Genomic DNA, 20,816 nt, shown 5'->3' on the forward strand with positions numbered 1-20,816 from the left:
TTGGCTAGAGAGTGACATAACAAAAGTGGCATTTAAGGAAAGACATAAACTATCAGAAGGCAGGGCTTTGTTGTGATTAGCTTGTGTGGATGATATCAAACAGAATAAACTGGAGATGAACCATTCAATCAATGATGACTGATCGAAATAAAGTGCACAGGCTCACTTCTGAGATGGTGGTAACTTTGGCAGACAACGCAAAACTTATTTTTCTTTGACGTGACTACTTAGCTTCAAAAGTTCATATACACTTCGACTCCCTAAAAGAGAGGAGGCTTTAGGGTCAGACAGACTTGGTTTGAAACACAATTATAACACTTGAGGCCTTGATCTCCTTGTCTGTAATATGGGATGCTGCATAACTTCACAGGGCTCTGAAGGAATCAAATGAGATGACCCATGCAGACTGCCTGGCCCGTGTCCTGGACATCCTGGACCTCCTGGCACAGGGCAAATTCTTCATAAGCTTACTTCCCTTCTCTTCCTTGTCTTGCAGAGTTGCAGTGGGTTTTATCCCAGTCTTTGTTGTTTCTGAAATGCTTATAGATTCACAGGAAGTTACAAAAATCATACAGAGTATCTTTCATCCAGTAACCTTTGGAGACTGGCTTTTCTCAGCATAATGCCCTTGAGATCCATCCAAATTGTTGCGTGTATCAATAGTTTTTTTCTTTCTTTCTTTCTTTTTTGTGCTCAGTAGTATTCCATGATATGGATGTACCAGAGTTTGTTTAACCATTCACCCACTGAAGGACATCTGGGCTTTTTCCAGTTTTCACTTATTACAAATAGAACTGCTATGAACTTTTAAGTATAGATTTTTGTGTAAGCATAAGTTGTCATTTCTCTGGGGTAAATGCCCAGGTGTGCAATTAATTGATCATATAGTAAGTCTATGTTTAGAAACTGTTTTTTAAGAAACTGCCAAATTGTTTTCCTCAGTGGCTGAACCATTTTACATTTCCACTAGCAATATATGAAAGATACAGTTTCCTCACATCCTCGCCAGCATTTGGTGTTGTCACTATTTTTATTTGAGTTGTTCTAATAGATGTGTAATGATATCTCACTGTGATTTCAAATTTCCATTTCTCCAGTGGTTAACAATGAATGTCCTTTTGTGTGCCTATTTGCAATCCATATATCCTCTTTAGTGAAATACCTATTCATGTTTTTTGCCCATTTTCTTTTTTTCTTTTTTTTTTTTTTTTTTTTACTGTTGTGTCTTGAGAGTTCTTATTTTCTAGATATAAACTTTTGTCAGATATAGTTTGAAAACATTTTCTCCTAGTCTGTAACCTGTCTTTTCATCCTCTTAACAGGGCTTTTTTCTTTATTGATTTTTTTCCTTTTATGGATCATACTTTTGGTATTAAGTCTAAGAACTCTTTATTTAGCCCTGGGTCCTAAAGATTTTCCCCTGGTTTTCTAAAAGTTTATAGTTTCATATTTTACATTTAAATCTATGATGCATTTTAAATTAATTTTTGTATAAAATGTGAGGTTTAGATTGAGATTCATATTTTTAATCTATGGATGTATAATTGCTTCAGCATCATTTGTTGAAAAGACAATTTTTCCTCCATTGATTTTCTTTTGCACCTTTGACAAAAATCAGTTGGGCATTATTTGTGTAGGCCTGTTTCTGGGTTTTCTATTCTGTTCCATTGACCTGTCTATCCTTCCCTAAGACTCTTTTTTTTTTTTTTTTTTTTGAGACAGAGTCTTGCTCTCTTGCCCAGGCTAGAGTGCAGTGGTGTGACCTTGGCTCACTGCAGCCTCTGACTTCCAGTTTTAAGCAATTCTCCTGCCTCACCCTCCAAGTAGCTAGCTGGGACTACAGGTGCATGCCACCATACCAGGCTAAATTTTTTTTTTTTTTTTTTTTTTTTGTATTTTTAGTAGAGACAGGGTTTCACCATGTTGGCCAGGCTGGTCTCGAACTCCTGCTCTCAAGTGATGCACCCACCTTTGCCTCCCAAATTTCCCAAATTGCTGGAATTACAGGTGTTAGCCACCACGCCCAGTCTAAGACCACATTTTATTCTCCTAAATGAAATAAATTTCAATACAATATTTACCCTAGATTTCATTCTAGGCTGAGACTAAATACACAGAATTTCAACCTAAATTGAGTGATTTGGCAAAATTTCTAGAAACCTGGAAAAAGATGTGCTTTTTCCACAAAAATTGGTGGAACTATTTTCTCTTTTTTATTTTTATTTTTTGTGTTTGATAAAAGATACATAACATAAAATTAGCATGTTAGCAATTTTTAAGTGTATAATTCAGTGGCATTAAGTATACACATATTGTTGTGCAACCACCAGCTCCCAAATTTTTAATCATCCCCAACTGGAATTCTGTATCTATTAAACCATAACTCTCCATTCCCTTCTCCCCCAGGTCTTCGGCCACCACCATTCTACTTTCTGTATCTCTGAGTTTGACTACTCTGAGTACCTCATATAAGTAGAATTATGCAGTTTTTGTCCTTGGGTGTCTGACTACTTCACTTAGCATAATGTCTCAGGATCATCCATGTTGTGGCCTGTGGCAGAATTTCATTCCTTTTTAAGACTGAATAATATTTCATTGTGTGGTTATACCACATTTTTGTTTATGCACTCATCCACTGATGGACACTTGGATTGTTTGGCCACTGTGAATAACGTTGTTATGGATGGCTGTACAAATATCTCTTTGAGTCCCTGCCCTATTCTTTGGGTGTATGCCCAGGAGTGGATCATTCTCTCTTATACAAGACTCTAGACTTGTTCAAACATCTGCTCCTTTCCCTTCTTTCGTCAAGACCCCAGGGGGGTCTACAGGGGGACCCACTGGGCCACTAGGGGGAGCTCCCCACCCTGGGATTTGGTGGGGTCTCTGGCTTGTTTTGTGATCTCTAGCTTGGTGGAAGTAAAGGAAAACAGAGAAAAATGAAGGAAATGGCAGCCCCCACCCCCCAAGCCATTTCTCGTGGGTTTTTGTTCTGTGGAGTTCCAAGCACCACCTGGAAATTGCTTTATTAAAAGCAACACCTCTCTGGCCACAGGGGTGAGAAAGGGAGGTAAGAATCAAAGGATGGCCCTTTCCTCAGTTCTCAGTTTGGGGAAAATTGGTTTCCTGCCTCACTGTGAACTTGAACAGATTAAATAAAAAGCACTTCGTCTTATACATTTCTCTCAAGCTTTCCAGCCAATGCATCCTCTTCCACTATTTATAGAATTAGGGCCAGCATGGTAGATTTCCTGTCCTGAGTAATTGTAGGAAGGTAGGCTCTGAAAAGTAGGAATAAAGAACCAATTCCCAGTTTGTGGTAGGTGGAGGCAGAATTTGGCCTAAACAGCAGCAAGGGTCTCCCGATTTCTCTCCCGACAGGCTTTTCTACAACTGGGTGTGAAGCCTGACCTGGACTCCTGCTAGTTGTGTGATTGTGGGAGGTAATTTGGCCTCTTTAAGCCTCAGTTTTCTCATCTGTGAAATGGGATAACAGAGTCAACCTCATCGTGTTGCTGTAAGGATTAAATTCCTTAGTACACCATAACCTCTCAATTAGAATGGATTATGACTGTTGTTTTCCTGATGCTATCATAATTCTCCTGCAGAAGTTAGTCCTGGGTGGGAGCTGCTGTCCCTGCACGTAACTTCCTCACACCCCATGCCAGTACAGTATAGAAAAGCTACAGTGCAACTGACAAAGTGCCTACATGTAGTAACAATAGAAATATCCTAATCTGAAGCTTTTCCTGGGAGCTGGACTCCAGAGTCCGTGCTGCAGAGGCAGTGGTTTTAAAGCTGCATTGTGCTGGAGATGTTCCCTCCCATGACCCCGTCACCTCCACCTCCACCACAGCCACCATGCCTAGGATCACAGTGCAGGTGTCTACTGAGGGACAGCAGAAAGGGGGTGGCCAGGGCCTGGCTCAGGAGGAGCGAACACCTCCTTTCTCTTACCCAAGCCGGGAACAAGGACCAAAGAGAATCTACTTCCTTCCTTCCTTCTCTCTCAGCTGCCCTCTAGGGCAGAGAAGTGGTCAAATGGGGAGTCACAGAATCAGCCCCAGGTTAAGCAGTTCTTGTTGGTGGACCAGCCGAGTGACGAAGGGTTAGACAGGAAGGGATGCACACTGGGCTGCCCCCACCTTGTCCTGGTGCCGCCCCCTCCCTGGTTCTGGGGCTGCCTCCTGCATGTCCACGGGCTACCCCCTACCTGGTGTTGGGACTTCCGTTCCCAGCCCCAGGATCCAAGTTGATACCTGTGGATTCCGCGGCTCAAAACGTCCTTTGTTGCTACCGGGCAGTCAGCCACTCCTTGACCCCAGTGAGATGGAAGATAACGTCTCGGTGGGGATTTGTAGGAAAAACCAGGTCTAGGCTGGGGGCGGGGTGTGAACAGGGGTGACGGTGCTCCTGGCGTGGGAGAAGACACACCCCTGCAGCACGGTGCACACCCAGCCCACCGTCTTGGCAGATGGCTTCTGGAGCCCAGGACTGGGTAGGGCAGAACTGCAGGCCCCTGGCAGTTCCGTGGGGCCCCGTGGTGAACCCCGCCTCACCAGGTGTGCTCGTCCCTGCCTCCCGTCCTCCGCCCTCTGGGAGCAGGGCTGGGATTCTACTACTCTTCGTTCCAAACAGTGGTGAGACTCCGCCGGGGCCCCTCCAGCCCTTGGCACTGGCTGGCAGACAACAGCCTGAGGCTCCTCCCAGGCAGAGGTGGGGTCCTCCCAGGGCTGCCCACCGGTCGTCCTCTCTCGCATCCTCTCAGGGCTCTCCATGTTCAAGTTCCCCCAGCTCCAGTCCTCCCTCTCCTATTTCTGGCAGCTCTTAAGACAGCTGCTCCCCAGAGAAGAGACTCCCCTTCCTCTCCCCGTCTTGTTCCAGCTGCCAACCTGCATGATTCATTCCTGTCTCCCCACCGCATAAAAGGCACTCAGGCCATTGCTTGTGCCTAAGTAAATATTTATGTGCTCAGCATTTGTAGCGAGTGAGTGTCCTCTGTCTGTCTGGGTCACTGTTGTCAGTCACTGTGGCAAGCAGGGCCATGCCAAGGGTTCTCTAAGTGCAAAGCAAGAAGGTTTTAAAGTACTGATTGTGGTCAGATTTATTCTGATCCTTTAATTGTTACAATGAAGGCATCTTTAAAACACACAATCAAAACCCCACCCATGGAGGAAGAATCCTGAGGACTGTGGATTGCTTGACATGGGCTTGGTTACCTGGGCAGGGCCTTCCCTGGTCCACTCCTGGAGACCCTTGTCCCTGTAACTTACTGCAAACCCAGATGTACATTTAAATTAAAGAAGGCGAGTAGCTCCTGGCTGCCTGCCACCGGCTAGATGATGGGGGAGCCCTAAGCAGAGTCGCCCAAGGGAGTGGACTCTGGGCAGGCTGCTGCCAGGGTGGTGGGGTCTGAAGGTACTGGAAGGCTCTCAGGATCTCAGCAGCTTCCCCACCCACTCTGGGGCCCTGGAATGTCTCCTCCGTGCGATGCCCTGGTGCCTGAAATTCCACCACTGCATTTTGTAGCTTTTGCTGTGGATCTTGTAGCTTTCTGTTTCCAGAAATTCCAGCTTAAAATGCACCACAAATGTCAGCCCAAGAATAAAACAGGCAGGTGGGGATACAGGTCATGTTATCAAGCTACAAGAAAGGCAAAAGGAAAATTAAAAGTGGGGGAAGAGGGCCTGGGCACAGTGGCTCACACCTGTAATCCCAACACTTTGGGAGGTTGAGGGCAGGCAGATCAGTTGAGGCCAAGAGTTCGAGACCAGCCTAGCCAACATGGTGAAACATGGTGAAACCCAGTCTCTACTAAAAACACAAAAAATTAGCCAGGTGTGGTGGTGCATATTTGTAATCCCAGCAGTTTGGGAGGCTGAGGCACGAGAATCACTTGAACCCAGGAGACAGAGGTTGCAGTGAGCCAAGATCATGCCACTGCACTCCAGCCTGGGCTGTAACAGAGTGAGACCCTGCCTCAAAAAAAAAAAAAAAAAAAAAAAAAGCTGAGGGGAGGGGGACATAGGAGTATGCGTGTACAAGAGATCATCAGTACTTTGCAGGAGGACAAAGTGACTAGATGGTGCTTCTCTCTCCCAGGCTAGTTCCTTCTTGCCCTGTTCTCTCCTTATCTGTTACTCTCCTATCGACTCAGGTTTGGGGCACGAAAATCAGCACCTCCAATACCTTTCTAAGCCTATACAGACCTACGGTATTTATCTGTTCATTCTTCTGTCAGAACACAAAGGCGTTCAAGGCTCATAATTTGAAACATGAAATGCAAAAAGTCACTGGATATAATTTCCATCTCTTCGGTAATCACCTTTGTCTATATCATCCTCTTTATTTATTTATTACGTCTTTTTAGAGATAGAGTCTCGCTCTGTCACCTGGCTGCAGTGCAGTGGCATGATCATAGCTCACTGCAGCCTTCATCTCCCGGGCTCAAGTGATCCTCCTGCCTCAGCCTCCTAAGTAGCTGGGACTAAAAGCATGAGCCACCATGGCTGGCCCTCACCTTCTTTATTATGGCCAATGCATGAAGTCTTGGAGAGGACTTCTAGGAATGGAGGAATGTTAGGGTCTAATTAGCATTAAAGCTGACTGCTTTTTTATTATTATTATTTTATTTTTAAATGGAGTCTCGCTCTGTCGCCAGGCTGGAGTGCAGTGGCGCGATCTCAGCTCACTGCAACCTCTGCCTCCTGCCTCAGCCTCCGGAGTAGCTGGGACTACAGGCGTGCACCGTCAGGCCCGGCTAATTTTTTTTTTTTATTTTTAGTAGAGATGAAGTTTCACCATGTTGGTGAGGATGGTCTCGATCTCTTGACCCCATGATCCACCCACCTTGGCCTCCCAAAGTGCTGGGATTACAGGCGTGAGTCACCAAGCCTGGCAGTGACTGCTATTTTCTATGAACCATTTCATTGACCAACATACTCAGGAACCTCAACAATTAACAAAGGATGCTAATGTTAGTTATGTATTAGGACCCAGATGCTTGTACAGTTGTCTCTGGGTACCCCCTGGGGGATTGGTTCCAGGACCCTCATGATATCAAAATCTATCAAAATCTATGAATGCTCAAGTCCCTAATATAAAATGGGATAGTATTTGCATATAACCTACACACATCCTCCCAAATACTTTAAATCATCTCTAGATTACTTATAATACCCAATACAATGTAAATGTGATATAAGTAGTTGTTACACTGTATTGCTTTTTGTTTATATTATTTTTTGTTGTTGCATTATTATTTTTTATTTCTTAAAAACATTTTCAGGCTGGGTGCAGTGGCTCATGCCTATAATCCTAGCACTTTGGGAGGCCGAGGCAGGTGGATCACTTGAGCTCAGGAGTTCACGACCAGCCTGGTCAACATGGTGAAATCCCATCCCTACTAAAAAAATACAAAACTTAGGCTGGGCGTGGTGGCTCACGCCTGTAATCCCAGCACTTTGGGAGGCCAAGGCGGGCAGATTGCCTCAGCTCAGGAGTTAGAGACCAGCCTGGGCAACACAGTGAAACCCCGTCTCTGCTGAAAATACAAAAAATTAGTCGGGCGTTGTGGTGTGCGCTTGTAGTCCCAGCTACTTGGGAGGCTGAGGCGGGAGAATTGCTTGAACCCAGGAGGCGGAGGTTGTGCCAAGATTGCAGTCCAGCCTGCGCAACAGAGTGAGACTCTGTCTCAAAAAAAAAAAAAAAAAACCACGAAAATTAGCTGGTTGTGGTGGCGCACACCTGTGATCATAGCTACTCAGGAGGCTGAGGCAAGAGAATCACTTGAACCCAGGAGGTGGAGGCTGCAGTGAGCAAAGATTGTGCCACTGCACTCCAGCCTGGGCAACAGAGCGAGATTGTGTCTCAAAAAAATAAATTAAAAAAATAAAAATATTGTCAATCTGAGGTTGGTTGACTCTGTGAACGTGGGACCCACAAATAGGGAGGGCCAATTGTTTAAATACATAGAGTGAAAAATATCAGAGAGAAAGGAAGAGTGCCAGGCTAAATGCTTTAAGCTTAACATTTGAATATTTAAAAACTTCAATTGTTAAACAATTGTCCATTACAATGATGCATTTTCACTTATTACTGTTTGTCTCTGGTGATACAATCATTTTTTCCTGAAGCCAAACAAGTGCTTCAGATAAGACATTCTAGCAAAGATCACAGCTCATAGGGTGGAATTCAATAGTTTATAAATGCTTTTTTTTTTTCAAGACAGAGTTTCACTCTTGTTGCCCAGGCTGGAGTGCAGTGGTGCTATCTCAGCTCACCACAACCTCTGCCCCCCAGTTCAAGTGATTCTCCTGCCTCAGCCTCTCGAGTAGCTGGGATTACAGGAAGGCGCCACCACGCCCGGCTAATTTTGTATTTTTAGTAGAGGCAGGGTTTCTCCATGTTGGTCAGGCTGGTCTCGAACTCCTGACCTCAGGTGATCCGCCAGCCTCGGCCTCTCAAAGTGCTGGGATTACAGGTGTGAGCCACTGCGCCCGGCCTATAAATGCTTTTGATAATAATCGTGGGTCAGGAGACAAACCATTACTTCCTTGAGATGTCTGGATTACCTGTGGGTTTCCTTTATCATCCTTGTTAGTACCATTTAGCAAAAGCTAACATGATGGCGGAACCTAGGACCCAGTCTCAGCTCAGGGTGTGCACACCTGGTCCCTGGCAAGACCAAGCAGGAAGAAGCCAGGATGGCGGAAGACCTCAAAGACTCCAGTTCTCGCCAGCCCCTCTGCCGCCCTCCACTGCAATGCGGTCCCAGGGAACTTAAGTGATGTGTTTCCTGGGCCTGGGGCAGGGGGTGCCACGGCTCTTCTGGGCTACCCTGTACCTGTCAGCAAGCCTCTCTCCTCCCGAAAGCTCACTGGACGCTGGGCCTTTGGGATCCCTGGCTGAGTTCAGGATCAGAATGACCTGTGGAGCCTTAGAAGTCACAGACCAGAGGCACAGCCTTGGAAACTGGACTTTAAACATTCTTTCCCAGGAGATTCCGATAAACCAGGGACTCAACCCTCACTGCACTAGGAAGCCCCTCCAGGAGCTGTCTGTGAGTGAACAACTTTGAGACACCCTCTGGTCACCTGGCACAGGTGTGCCTCCCACCCTGGGCAGCCACGTGGGAGGGGTCAGCCTCCCCTGACAGCTGGAGAGGCCACTTTAGTGTCCTTGTGGGAGCTTGTGGCCATCCTTTCTCCCTTTCCTGGCTGGCCTCTCCTTCGGTATCTGCATTTTCTGTCGTCCTAACAGTCTCTGGAGAGGAAGGAAGAAGGGGCTGCTCTCGCTCTGGAATGCCAGCCCCCTGCTGAGTTCCTGCCGCCCTCTCTTCCTTGCTCCCAGCCCCCTCTACCAACAGGAACGGCCAATGCTCCTGGCTTTGCCTCTCTCTGCCTTTGTGCGTGTCTTACTGTGGCTCTCTTATTGTGGAGCACACATCACTCGACCCGAGGGCTCCCTGCTGCACCCTCCAGTCTGCGCTCTCCTCTTCCTAAACTTGTGGGCCCTGTCTACACAGGTTGCTCACTCCGCCATCTCTCTCGCCTTGCCCTCTGGCCTTCGTATTTATCAGTTCACTTTTTGAAACTGCACCTCCAGCCACCCTGACCTCTAACGCTCCTTACATTCCCTGTTTCTTGCCGTCAACACTTGAATGCCCCCTTGACCTTAAAAGTAAGTGTCTTGGAGTCAGATTCACTGTCTTCCTCTCAAACCTCCATCTTTCTCCATTTCCCCTTTGACTCCATCATAGCTTTGTTTACTCTTGGGGAGTATTTAGACCCATGCTTTTTACAGGTGAGGATCCAAGAAGGGGAGTGACCTTCCCCAGGGGAAACCAGCTCCTTAGTAAGAGAGAGGGAAGGAGAAGCTCGGCCACCACCCTTAGTCCTGATGGCCTTGAGCCGCCAGGGGCTCTGGCACCAGACGCATGTGGCCTGGGCATCTGATGTTCATTTCATTTCCATTTGCTTGTGTCCTGGCCCCACTATAAGAACAAAGCTCCTTGAGGGCAGGCACCCTGTCTCCGTTTCCTCTGAAATGTCCCTCAGTATAGAAAGCATTAAAGGGCTTCAGTCAAAGTTGAGATGAGGGAAAAAGGAGGCATATGGGGATGTTAGAGTCTCCAAAGGGAAAATGGTATTTCTTGTCAATCATAATTCCAAAGAGTGCCTTGTTTTTTGGTCAAGCATTTGAGTAGTTCATTAACAGGATCACATTCATTAGTTTTTCCCATTTGCTCGCCATTCTTTTGTTTGTTTGCTTGTTTTTAAGAGATGGGGGGGGGGGGTCTCACTTTGTTGCCCAGGCTGGTCTCGAACTCCTGGCCTCAAGCAATCCTCCCACCTCAGTTTCTCAAAGTGCTGGGATTACAGGCGTGAGCCACCGCACCCGGCCCCCATTTTCTCTTTATGGGACCTTGACGAGTGGTACTGATGAAATGATGAAACTCTTCCCATTGCAATTGGCTAGAGTCTCCAGATTTTGCCAGTTTTTAGTGACACCTTCAACTGCTTCATTCTAGGTATTAGTAAAGCAGTAATTCATTAAAGGGACAATTTAGGATTCTGTCTTCTCTTGGGAGGAGTTCAAGGATAGAGCATCCCATTAGAGTGGACAACAGAAAATGAGGTCACGTCTATTCAATCATAATAATGCAATTATTAATACTGATTGAACATATACTACGTGTAATAAATAGTACTGGATTCCTTTTTTCTGTCTGTTTTAGACAGGGTCTCACTCTATCGCCCAGGCTGCTGGAGTGCAGTGGTGTATAATCACGGCTCGCTGCAGCCTCGACCTCCCGAGCTCAAGTAATCCGCTTGCCTCACCCTCCTGAGCAGCTGGGACTACAGGTGCACACCAAAACACCCACCTAATTTTTGTGTTTTTTGTAGAGTCAGGGTTTTGCCATGTTGCCTAGGTTGTTCTGGAACTCCTGAGGTCAAGTGATCTGCCCGCCTCAGCCTCCCAAAGTGCTGGGATTACAGGCGTGAACCACCATGCCCAGCCAGTACTTGGATTCTTTATGTGTGTTCTTCGACTTCTCACATTGCCATAGATAGGTGATCTTACCACTGCTACCTTTTAGATGAGAAAACCGAGGCTTAGAGAGATGAGTGTCTTGCTCAAGATCACACAGGTGTTGAGTCTGAAGTTCACCTCTGAGGACTGACCTGGCGCCCTGCTCAGCAACCATGCTGTCTTCTCCCTGGAGGGGCACTAACTTCTCTTTTGGGGAGAGGTGGCTAGAGGAGAGCCTTCCAAGTGAGATGAGTAAGGCTGTCATCATTCTGATGAATCTTCATTAAGATAAAACTAGAGGGCCACTGTATTTGTCCGTTTTCACACTGCTGATAAAGACATACCTGAGCCTGGGCAATTTACAAAAGAAAGAGGTTTAATTGGACTTACGCTTCCACATGGCTAGGGAGGCCTCACTGTCATGGCAGAAGGCACAGAGGAGCAAAGTCACATATTTCGTGGTTGGCAGCAGGCAAAAAGAGAGCTTGTGCCGAAAAACTTCCCCTTATAATAACCATCAGATCTCATGGGACTTACTATCAGGAGAACAGCACCGGAAAGACCTGCCCCATGATTTAATTACCTCCCACCGGGTCCCTCCCACAACACGTGCGAATTCAAGACGAAATTTGGTTGGGACACAGCCAAACCATATCAGCCACTCACAGTGGTGCACACCTGTAATCCCAGCACTTTGGGAGGTCGAAGTGAGAGAATCGCTTGAGCTCAGGGGTTTGAGACCAGCCTGGGAAACATAGCAAAACCCTGTCTCTACAAAAAATATGAACATTAGCCAGCTATGGTGGCATGTGCCTGTAGTCCCAGCTACTCAGGAGGCTGAGGTGGGAGGATCGCTTGAGCATGGGAGGTTGAGGCTGCAGTCAGCCATGATCATGCCACGGCACTCCAGCCTGGGTGACAGAGTAAGACTCTGTCTCAAAAAAAAAAAAAAAAAAAAAAAAGAAAAGCAGTTTATAAACTGGTAAGCTCTATGCACATATGAGGTATTAAGAACGGTCTTCTGCTTTTATAAAAATTCCTTTATGCTGCTGACATCCTGGTATGAACTTTTTCCTCTACAGGTCCACTGCAGAGCCAGATTAGAACTCATGATAGCAGCTTCCTTCTTACCAACCCTGCTGCCTTCAGCACTTAGAAATCCCCCGATCCAGCTGTCCCAAATTGTCTTGGCTATTGTGAGTCTGTGGCGGTAATCTATGGATAGTGTCTGGATATTTGGGTCAGATTCTGCCAGTTTTTAAAAAGCCCTCTTTCTTAGCAAAACCGTGACTTCTATGTTACGTCCAGACAACGAGCAGAAACTGAGCACTGAACAACACAGTACCACAGGCAATGGGGTCAAGTGCCTGTGAAATAGCTGTCGGGATAAAAGGTTATTATTAGCTCTGCCTCTCGCTCTTGTTCTGGGCTTTGAAGGCTCATCAGTTCCCCCAAGAAATTTTCTGTGCGTCCTTTTTTTTTTTTTTTTTTTTGAGACGGAGTCTGGCTCTGTCGCCCAGGCTGGAGTGCAGTGGCCCGATCTCGGCTCACTGCAACCTCCGCCTCTCGGGTTCACACCATTTTCCCGCCTCAGCCTCCCGAGTAGCTGGGACTACAGGTGCCCTCCACCACGCCCGGCTAATTTTTTATACTTTTTACTAGAGACGGGGTTTCACCGTGTTAGGCAGGATGGTCTCAATCTCCTGACCTCATGATCCGCCCGCCTCGGCCTCCCAAAGTGCTGGGATCGCAGGCGTGAGCCACCGCGCCAGGCCTTCTGTGCATCTTAAAGAACACCTTTGAAAGGTGCCAGAGAAGCAGACTGGGATGGAGTAGAGGGTTGCCCTGCAACAGGGGTACTTTCTTCCTGCACCCAGAGGCGGCTGGACAGCAGTGTTCTGAAGCTCCTCCCCCTGGCACTGGGGGTGGTGAAACGGAGCAGTCCACCGAAGAGCATGCCTGAGGACCAGCACTCAGCCCCACATGCACCTGGCAGGAAAGCCACTGAGATCCCAGCCACGCAGGAGTCTCAGCCTCCTCTCTGACTAGTTCTGATAGGGTTTTCGTTAGACTTTCTGGCTGGGAAGGGACCTCTGAGTGTGGATGGGGGCCTGCGAGGGCATGACCAGGAGTGGGGAGCAGTGTCCTCAATAAAAAGAGCAGTGATCATTACATATTTGCATAGGGCCAAATATTCTTTCTTTTCTCTTTTTTTCTTCTATTTCCTTCCTTACTTTCTTGTGTCCTTTCTTTTTAATCACAAATGCCAAATTGGAATATGCCTTGTTTGGCAGAGAAGGCAAGAGACCCCACCCAACAGTCACAGACAAAACATGGGTGAGATTTGTCTGCATTCCCATCAGTGCCTGCCTTCAGAGCTGGAGGTAGCTGCCCCAGCAGTCCAGTGACTCAAGCTATGGGGTGCTTACCACTTCCCTTGGGGAATCTGGCCCACGTCTCTGCTGTCTCCTCATTCAAACGTTTTCCCAGCTACTCAGCCACAAGCTCCTTTCCCGGGGGCACTGCAGCTTCCCTCCCTGTGCCACAAGTTTTGACTCATCTTGGACAGAGATGGTGGGGGTAGGGGACTTACAGAGCATTCAGCTGGGGTTGCTGTCGTCTGTCACTTGCTCTCATCCTAGACTGTCAGCTCAGGGCCAAGCAAAGTCATCCCTTGTTGCTTCTTCTAGGCTTCAAATTAGAGGTCGGCCTCTCCACACCTCATTCTTCAGACTGTAAACTTCCTGAAGGTGGGAACTGGTCTCATTCATCTCTGGGTGTTTAGGGCTCAACAAATGAAGCGAATCTTCAGTTTCTCCCATGTTGCATTCTGGAGTAATCAGGGTCTGGGGAACAAGACTTCCCCCCGACCTCCCACGAAGACCCTAACTCCATGGCCGGGCACAGTGGCTCACGCCTGTAATCCCAGCACTTTGGGAGGCCGAGGCAGGTGAATCGCTTGAGGTCAGGAGTTCGAGATCAGCCTGGCCAACATGGTGAAACCCCGTCTCTACTACGGTGGCGCACACCTGTAATCCCAGCTGCTTGGGAGGTTGAGGCAGGAGAATCAGTTGAACCCGGGAGAAGGAGGTTGCAGTGAGACGAGATTGTGCCACCACACTCCGGCCTGGTCAACAAGAGCAAAACTCTGTCTCAAAAAAAAAAAAAAAAAAAAAAGACCCTAACACTAGAACTGATGTTTTATTCTGAGGAAGAGAGAAACTGAGCCTGCTTGAAATTTGGCAAAGCGGATTCAAAGCTTTTTTGCTTGCTTTAGGCCAACTCTCCTCATATCATCTGTCCCCAAGATAAAGCCTTGAACTAGCTTCCCTCCAGCAGCAGGCAGGCTCCCCACAACAATTATAGGCCATGCATTTATGGTTGCTGGACCTGGTCTCATAAACCCCATTCATTCACTCCGAGGTGAGAAAAGTCACAGTGCACCTGAGGTGAGAAAAGTCACGGTGCACCTCCGGCCCAAGCCAGCACAGTTCCAAGGAAACCTTGCCCTCTAATTAGTGGGGTATTTGCTACAACAGCTCTTACCTGTTGTAAAATCCAGAGGACAATAGCTCCTTATTGCCTGCCCAGTGTGGTGGGTTCCTGGTCCCATCCATTCCCTGACCCTCCCTGCTGCCCCTTCCCCCACTGAAAGGGGGAGGCTGTCACCTTGTTTGGTTACTAATTTTAAAAAGGCAAAGCCTTTGATTATTACTATTGTATTTTCCCTCCCCTCACTGTACTGCATTCGAAGGCAATTTCTTTAGCAGGGCGACCTCCTCCTCAGGGAAGAGACTGGGTTTTTCAGAATGTAAAAGCAAAGGGGCTGGAGGGCAGGCCTGGGATCCTACTGGCTGCTCTCGGTTGGTCCCTGTTACCTGGGTCTGGAGCAGGGACCAGCAGCTCCTGCCTCCACTGGGACCTTAGCTCACCCACTTCACCTCCTTGGACACCCTCTTGGGCAGCTCACCCAGAGGTGCTATGAGGTTACCTACAAAAGGACATGGGACTTCCAGAAAAGCATTTAAACTTGGATCTGAACTAAGGCCGAGCCCTGGACTCTAGTGACCTTCTCAAGCTATTAGCCCCTGCAGTGACTATGGGTTGGTCGTCAGACTTTCCTGTGCCTCATTTTCTCCATAAAACATCAGGAGAATTATTTAGTCCTATATCCATGACGAAAGTATTGAGAGAACACGTTTGCTCCTTGAAACCTTTCTGCCTCATTTTTCCCAAACCCAGGGATCTTTCTGAGCTGGGCTCTGTAGGGAAGGGCCCAGGACTGCGAGGGGGATGACCTGGGTTTGCGAAGCGGCAAAGTAGTTCCCGGGTCACTCTACTTCCTTGGGGGATTCAAAGGAGGACGCGTAGCAAGAAAGCGGAGGACATAACTCTCTTCCCCTCTCAGAGCCTCGGGCCCCGCAGACGCCGAGGTGGGCGCTCGTGCCAGGATCGCGGGGCGCGGGTACGGGCTCCTTGGGCGCCCCGAGGGGGCTGCTGGCCGGGGTAAGAGCCGCGGTTTCTTCGGAGGATCGGGTCGAGTTCCAGGAGAAGGGGGCAGCAGGCGTGCGGCGCCGGGAGAAGGGGGCCGGGCGGCGGAGACTCCCCGTCCGCACCCCCGCGGCGAGGCCCCCGGGCCGCTCTGCTTAGGGGCCGAGGGAGCCGGGCGGGAGGCAGGTGCGGAGGTCGCGGTCCCAGCGCCTGGGAGGAGCCCTCGGGAGGGTGTCGCGGCCCGGCTGGTGGGCAGGAGCGAGCCGGGGCCGGCGCGGCTGTCGGGGGCGGGGAGGAGGCGCGGGAGGCGGGGCGGAGGCGGCGGCGCCCCCAGGATCCACTCGCCCAGCGCCGGGCCCTGCACTCCGAGCCGCGGCCGCCACCCGCCCCGCAGCCAACTTGGGCCGAAACTTCCCCGGGTCCCGCGCTCCGGAGCAGGGCGCGCAGCCCGGCGAGATCGACGGCGGCCTCCCGAGCCCGCGCCTCGGGCCCAGGGCCTCCCTCCGGATCGGCCGCAGGCTGCGCGCCCCCGACCGTCCCCGCCCGCTGAGTTCGGGGGTCCCCGGCGCGGAGCAGGGAGCCCTCCGGGCGGCAGGAGGGCGCGCAGACTCCGAGCGCCGGGGCTGCCTGGCCGGGCTCCGGTGGACACCTCGGAGGCTGCCCCAGCATCGGGGGGGGGGCCCGAGACGCCTCGGCGGGACCCCGGGAGCCGAGCACGCCCGCCCGCGCCGCCAGCCCCGCGCCCCGGCCGCGGATGAAGAGTCGGAGGCGGCGGCCCGAGCGGCCCGCGCGCTGAGAGGAGCGGGCAGGGTCTGCCCCGGGCCCCGCCGGCCGCCCCCTGCGCCCCCGCGGGCCGCGCCTCGCCCGCCGACCCAGCGCAGCCGGGCGCAGGAAGAGCCGGGCCGGGCCGAGCGGCGCCCGGAGCCCGCGGGCCTGACACGCGGCGGGACATGCAGGTAAGCGCCGGCCCTCGCCCCCGGGGACGGCCCCGCCGCCGCCGCCGCCGCCCCGGCTGCCGAACCTCGCGCGGCTCCTCCGCCTTCCCGGCCCCGCGGCCGCGCTGGGTGTCCGCCGGGTGGGTCTGCGCGCCGCGGGCGTCGGGTCGGGGCGGGCCGGGGTCAGGTCGGGGGAAGGGAGTCGCCCCGGGCCGGGGCGGCGAACAAAGCTGGGGACCGCCGGGCCCTCGCGCGGGCAGGCATAGGAGGCTCCGGGGTCGGCGGCGCAGGCGGGGCGGCCTCTGAGCTTCGCGCTCACTCTCCCGGGTCTGGTCGGGCCCAGCCCCGACCCTCCGCCGAGGTCTGCGCCGGCATCGAGGACCCCATCTGGGTTACTTTACCCGCCGGACGCGGGTGGGAGCCTGCGTTTCTGCCCGGACCGCGCAGGTAGAGCCCGAGCGCCGCTCGGCTTTGTGCTTCTCCGGTCGCTCCGGCGCTCCACGTCCCCGCCGTGGGAGAGGCGGGACGAGACCTCCTCCTTCACTTTCTTGGAGCCTCGGTGGACGCGTAGCCCGCGCTCCAGTCGGAGCCGAACCCCCGGGTATTTGCTGCAGACCGCTGGGAGAGGCAGTTCGGTTTGCGGGGAGCCTGCCCGGCCCTGTTTTACAGGGAGGGAAACTGAGGTGGCCCCGGCCCTGCGTTGGTTACTCAGCTGAAGGGGTGTGTGTGTGTCCGGTGTCCCCTCCACTTCACCCGGGCCCTTCTTCACTGCTTTTGCCACCTGGCCACGTTGGCAACAGCTTCCAGTTGCTACTCCCCTGGGCAGAGGTTCAGCCTGGTACCTGGAGGAGAAAAACTAGGGATCGTGGAATCAACCCCCCAGACTGCTCCAGGGGCCCCGGAATGTGCCCAGTCACCAGAGCTGCGATGGGACGTCTGTGCCCGTGCCGTCAGTGTGGAGCCGAAAACCCTGGCTCGGCAGGGCAGGGGCAGCCGCTAGCCAGCCACCAGCACTCGTCCAGGCACACGGGGGAAGCCTAGGGAGCCCCCTCCTGTGGCTGGCCCCTAAGGCAACGGAGAGCCCAGGCAGCAGCGGGCACGCCCTCAGAAGGCCTAAGGACCCTTTCCTGCACCCAGCCTCTCCTGCCATCCGATTAACCGGCAGAATTCACTTACGCAAAGGCAAGACTCCCCATCTCAGGCACAGACGAGCGGATGCCAGACCTGGAGCTTGCAGCCGCACCCCTGCCTAGGCTCACACACACAGGTCCTGGCAAACACACCGACCTATTAGAGGTGGAAGACTGAGGGGTGGTTTTCCTCCATCTCAAAATAGTGTCTGTTCTCGCTTTGACACACAAGATTCGTGGTTATAAATAGCAAGAAGGAGGAGGTGTGTCTCCTTGGAAGGATGGCAGTGCTGAAAGAGACCTCTTAGGCACCCTTGTGAGAGGAGTGATGGAGCTGGCGTCTTCATGGTGATGACAAGTCCAGCAGTCCAAGGGAAGGGTCACAATTAAAACCAGGGCTTTTTACTAACAGATGCAGGTGGCGCGGACAACAGGGCAGGACGTGAAGGGAGTAAAGGAACCTAAAGTGACAATGGATGGGTCAATACCCAAAGGCAGTCAGGAGAGACATCTCCCCTTCCCTTTCTTTCTCTTCTTAAAGACAGTCAGGCCAAGGGCGTGTGACACTCTGTGGGATCTGCCTGCCAGGGGAGCAGGAGCCAGGCTCGGAGGAGCTGGCTGGTCTTTTTCCACCCATGGATTTCATACTTTCCCAGGCTCTGATATCTTATGTATTTGAATATGAATAGGTGATTGAGCGTGTGTGTCTGTGTGTTTCTCCAAGGTATCTGAAACCGGTCCCCTCTTTAGTTCATTTGGTGATTGTAATATCACCAGGGGTTTCTTATTGACTTGAAACTACCCTTTTCTAAAATTTTTTCTGTCCAAAAAGCATAAGTTAAAGGGATATTGCCAAAATTGCTGGGAGCCATATGCTGCGAAAAGAAAAAATCTGGAATTCTTCTTCCCTTGTGTATTTCACCCTCTGACTCTAGGGGCAGCTGAAAGATTTTTTGTTTGCTCTTCTTCAAGGTCAAGAAAGGCAGAGGACTAGGCTGGTCTGTTCTAATTTTTAATTCTAGGATGGTTCTGCTGCTTTCTGGATTGCCGCAGCCTGGCTTCTCTAGCATGGAGGGAAGTTTTTACGTGTGGTGATAGTCCTTGTCTTCTCTGAAATAGAAACCAGTCAGTCCAAAAAAGCTCTCGTGTCAGCGAGAGCTTTTTCTCTCTGGCTCCTTTTCAAACCGCCTGCCATTTATCTCCTTCATCTTCTAACCAGGTCTTCAGAGCCCATCTTTGCTCCAGCGCTAGTCCTGGATGCAGTCCTCAGAGTGTGTGGTCGTGGTGGTAGTTACTGGTTGTTGGGTAACTCCATCAGGTCTCTGAAGACACACAACAGCAGTAGATGTAAAAGCCCTCTGGGCAATGAGAGCATGTGGGAGCTCCACTTACGGGCAGCCTTGGCTGGTTTCTGTTGAGCGTCTTCACCGTTATCTACGAGTCCAGAAACATCCAGCAGAGGGATTGTGCATCGATATTGCCATCAAGATGAAAAGACATGCTCATTTTAAATCTGAGCCACCCTTTAAAGTAAAACTAACCTTCTGTCCATCTCTGGGGCGCAGCCTGTGTGCTCCCCCAAGCAGCATGCTGGAGGAACCCTGAAAACGGATCCGCTGTTTGGTACAGTTCTGGCTGGACTGTTCCCTTCAGCGAGAAATGCCCCAACTCTGGAGAGCAGGTGACTGCACAGCCCCTACCAGGCCCTCTCCACCCCTGGCCCGGCTCTGTTTACCTGGCTAAATTTAAACCTCCGCCCCCTCCATCCCAGTTTGAGCCACTGGCTTGCGGTCTCGCCACTGGGCTGGCTGCTGCGGCAGCATTTCCTGACTTCTTCGCCCCTGTGGTTGCAGTGTGGTCTCTTTGTGCTGCATGAGTCCTCTTCTAGGCTTTCTAAAGTTGGTCTCTCTCCCCGCTGCTTCTCCACCCATGTGGCTTTCTTCCCATCTCTTTCCTCCTGGGTGAGTTGGAACCTGGTTCGGTACTGGGGGAAGATGCTCTCCCCTAACCCTTCCAGATACTGTGCACGGAGATCACAGGAAGCCTAGACTCAAGCTGTCATTTAAGGTCCTCAGGGGGCTGTGCTGACTGTAATCATTACCCAGCCTGGCTGCCGGGCTGTCGGATCCCCTTTGAGTAAGCACGTAGGGTGCTGGCAGCAGTGCAGCCCTTAAAGGGACAGGGGCATTCTCTAAGGTCTTTGGCACCCCAAACCTCCAGCTCCCCTAAGAAACCAACCCACCTGGATGTCCTGTCCTTTGCATCACTGTCTTTTCTTGAGGTTTTGCTGGGGAGGGTGTTTGAGTGGGTTGGGGTGCACACGGTAGCTTCTCTCTGGATCTCAGTAATATTTTCTTTTCTTTCCTTTTTTTTTTTTTTTTTTTTTTTTTTAACAGGGTCTTTCTCTGCTGCTCAGGCTAGAGTGCAGTGGTATGATAATGGCTCACTGCAGCCTCGACCTCCTGGGCTCAAGTGATCCTCTCACCTCAGTCTCCCCAGTGGCTGGGATTGTAGGAGCCGTGCACCACCATGCCTGGCTAATTTTGTTCTTTTTTAATTTTTTGTATAAATTGGGTTTCACTATGTTGCCCAGGCTGGTCTTGAATTCCTGGGCTTAAGTGATTCTCCTGCCTCAGCCTCCCAAAGTGCTGGGATTATAGACATGAGCCACCTTGCCCAGCCTTGCTTGTCTTTTCTATAAAGTGAGAGCATTGGGTTAGTTGGTCCCAGGGGCCCCTTCCAGCTCTAACATCCTGTCACTCTGAACAGCTCGAGCTCTTTCAGGTTTGGGAATCCCTCTGCTGTGGACAGGCCTGGAGTGTCCCCACCAGAGGGGTGGGGGGTGCTCTGGGCCTGCTGCTTTCACAGAGTTACTGTTTCACCAGCCGTGGTCTCAGAGGCAGGGTTTGTGGTCAAGCTGGAGGCTCAGGTTGTGCTCCTGGCTTTGGGCTTGGGCCTGCCAGGGGCCTCTGTGGTTCGCTGGCATCTGGGAGATTATGACAAGCCTCTGTCTCCAGCTTTGGGTGACTTTGGGGCTGGTGCCTGAGTTCTAGGGGGAGGCACCCCAACCTTTCTTAAAGGGGTATACAGTCTCCTCTGTAGCCTCCTAGAGCCCCAGAAATGCTAACTCCTAAAAGGTTACTCCTGTCTGATTTATACAGTGGATTTACTGAGGCCTGGGAAACGATAGCTGGCCTTGGCTTAGAAAAGGCAGTGAACTCAAAAG

At 50.9% G+C, this 20,816-nt stretch overlaps 1 long non-coding RNA gene across 1 annotated transcript, besides 4 other annotated features; it reads right to left on the minus strand.

Annotated features, from left to right (window-relative positions):
- Positions 1-13,253: 13,253 nt before the first annotated feature.
- On the minus strand, positions 13,254-17,723 carry LOC107984507 (uncharacterized). The gene is made up of 2 exons (NR_160736.1): positions 17,637-17,723; positions 13,254-17,302 (listed from the first exon to the last, which is right to left on the minus strand). It is a non-coding gene; the product is annotated as an uncharacterized LOC107984507 (long non-coding RNA).
- Positions 15,626-15,875: a silencer, noted in NCBI's record as "silent region_4112". NCBI's record gives its function as "represses an Ori minimal core promoter by ATAC-STARR-seq in GM12878 lymphoblastoid cells {active_cell/tissue: GM12878}" and the evidence as "EXISTENCE:reporter gene assay evidence [ECO:0000049][PMID:35858748]".
- Positions 15,966-16,075: a silencer, noted in NCBI's record as "silent region_4113". NCBI's record gives its function as "represses an Ori minimal core promoter by ATAC-STARR-seq in GM12878 lymphoblastoid cells {active_cell/tissue: GM12878}" and the evidence as "EXISTENCE:reporter gene assay evidence [ECO:0000049][PMID:35858748]".
- Positions 19,089-19,288: an enhancer, noted in NCBI's record as "active region_5798". NCBI's record gives its function as "activates an Ori minimal core promoter by ATAC-STARR-seq in GM12878 lymphoblastoid cells {active_cell/tissue: GM12878}" and the evidence as "EXISTENCE:reporter gene assay evidence [ECO:0000049][PMID:35858748]".
- Positions 19,439-19,588: an enhancer, noted in NCBI's record as "active region_5799". NCBI's record gives its function as "activates an Ori minimal core promoter by ATAC-STARR-seq in GM12878 lymphoblastoid cells {active_cell/tissue: GM12878}" and the evidence as "EXISTENCE:reporter gene assay evidence [ECO:0000049][PMID:35858748]".

Source organism: Homo sapiens, chromosome 12 (assembly GCF_000001405.40).
Source record: "Homo sapiens chromosome 12, GRCh38.p14 Primary Assembly".
Taxonomy (NCBI): domain Eukaryota; kingdom Metazoa; phylum Chordata; class Mammalia; order Primates; family Hominidae; genus Homo; species Homo sapiens.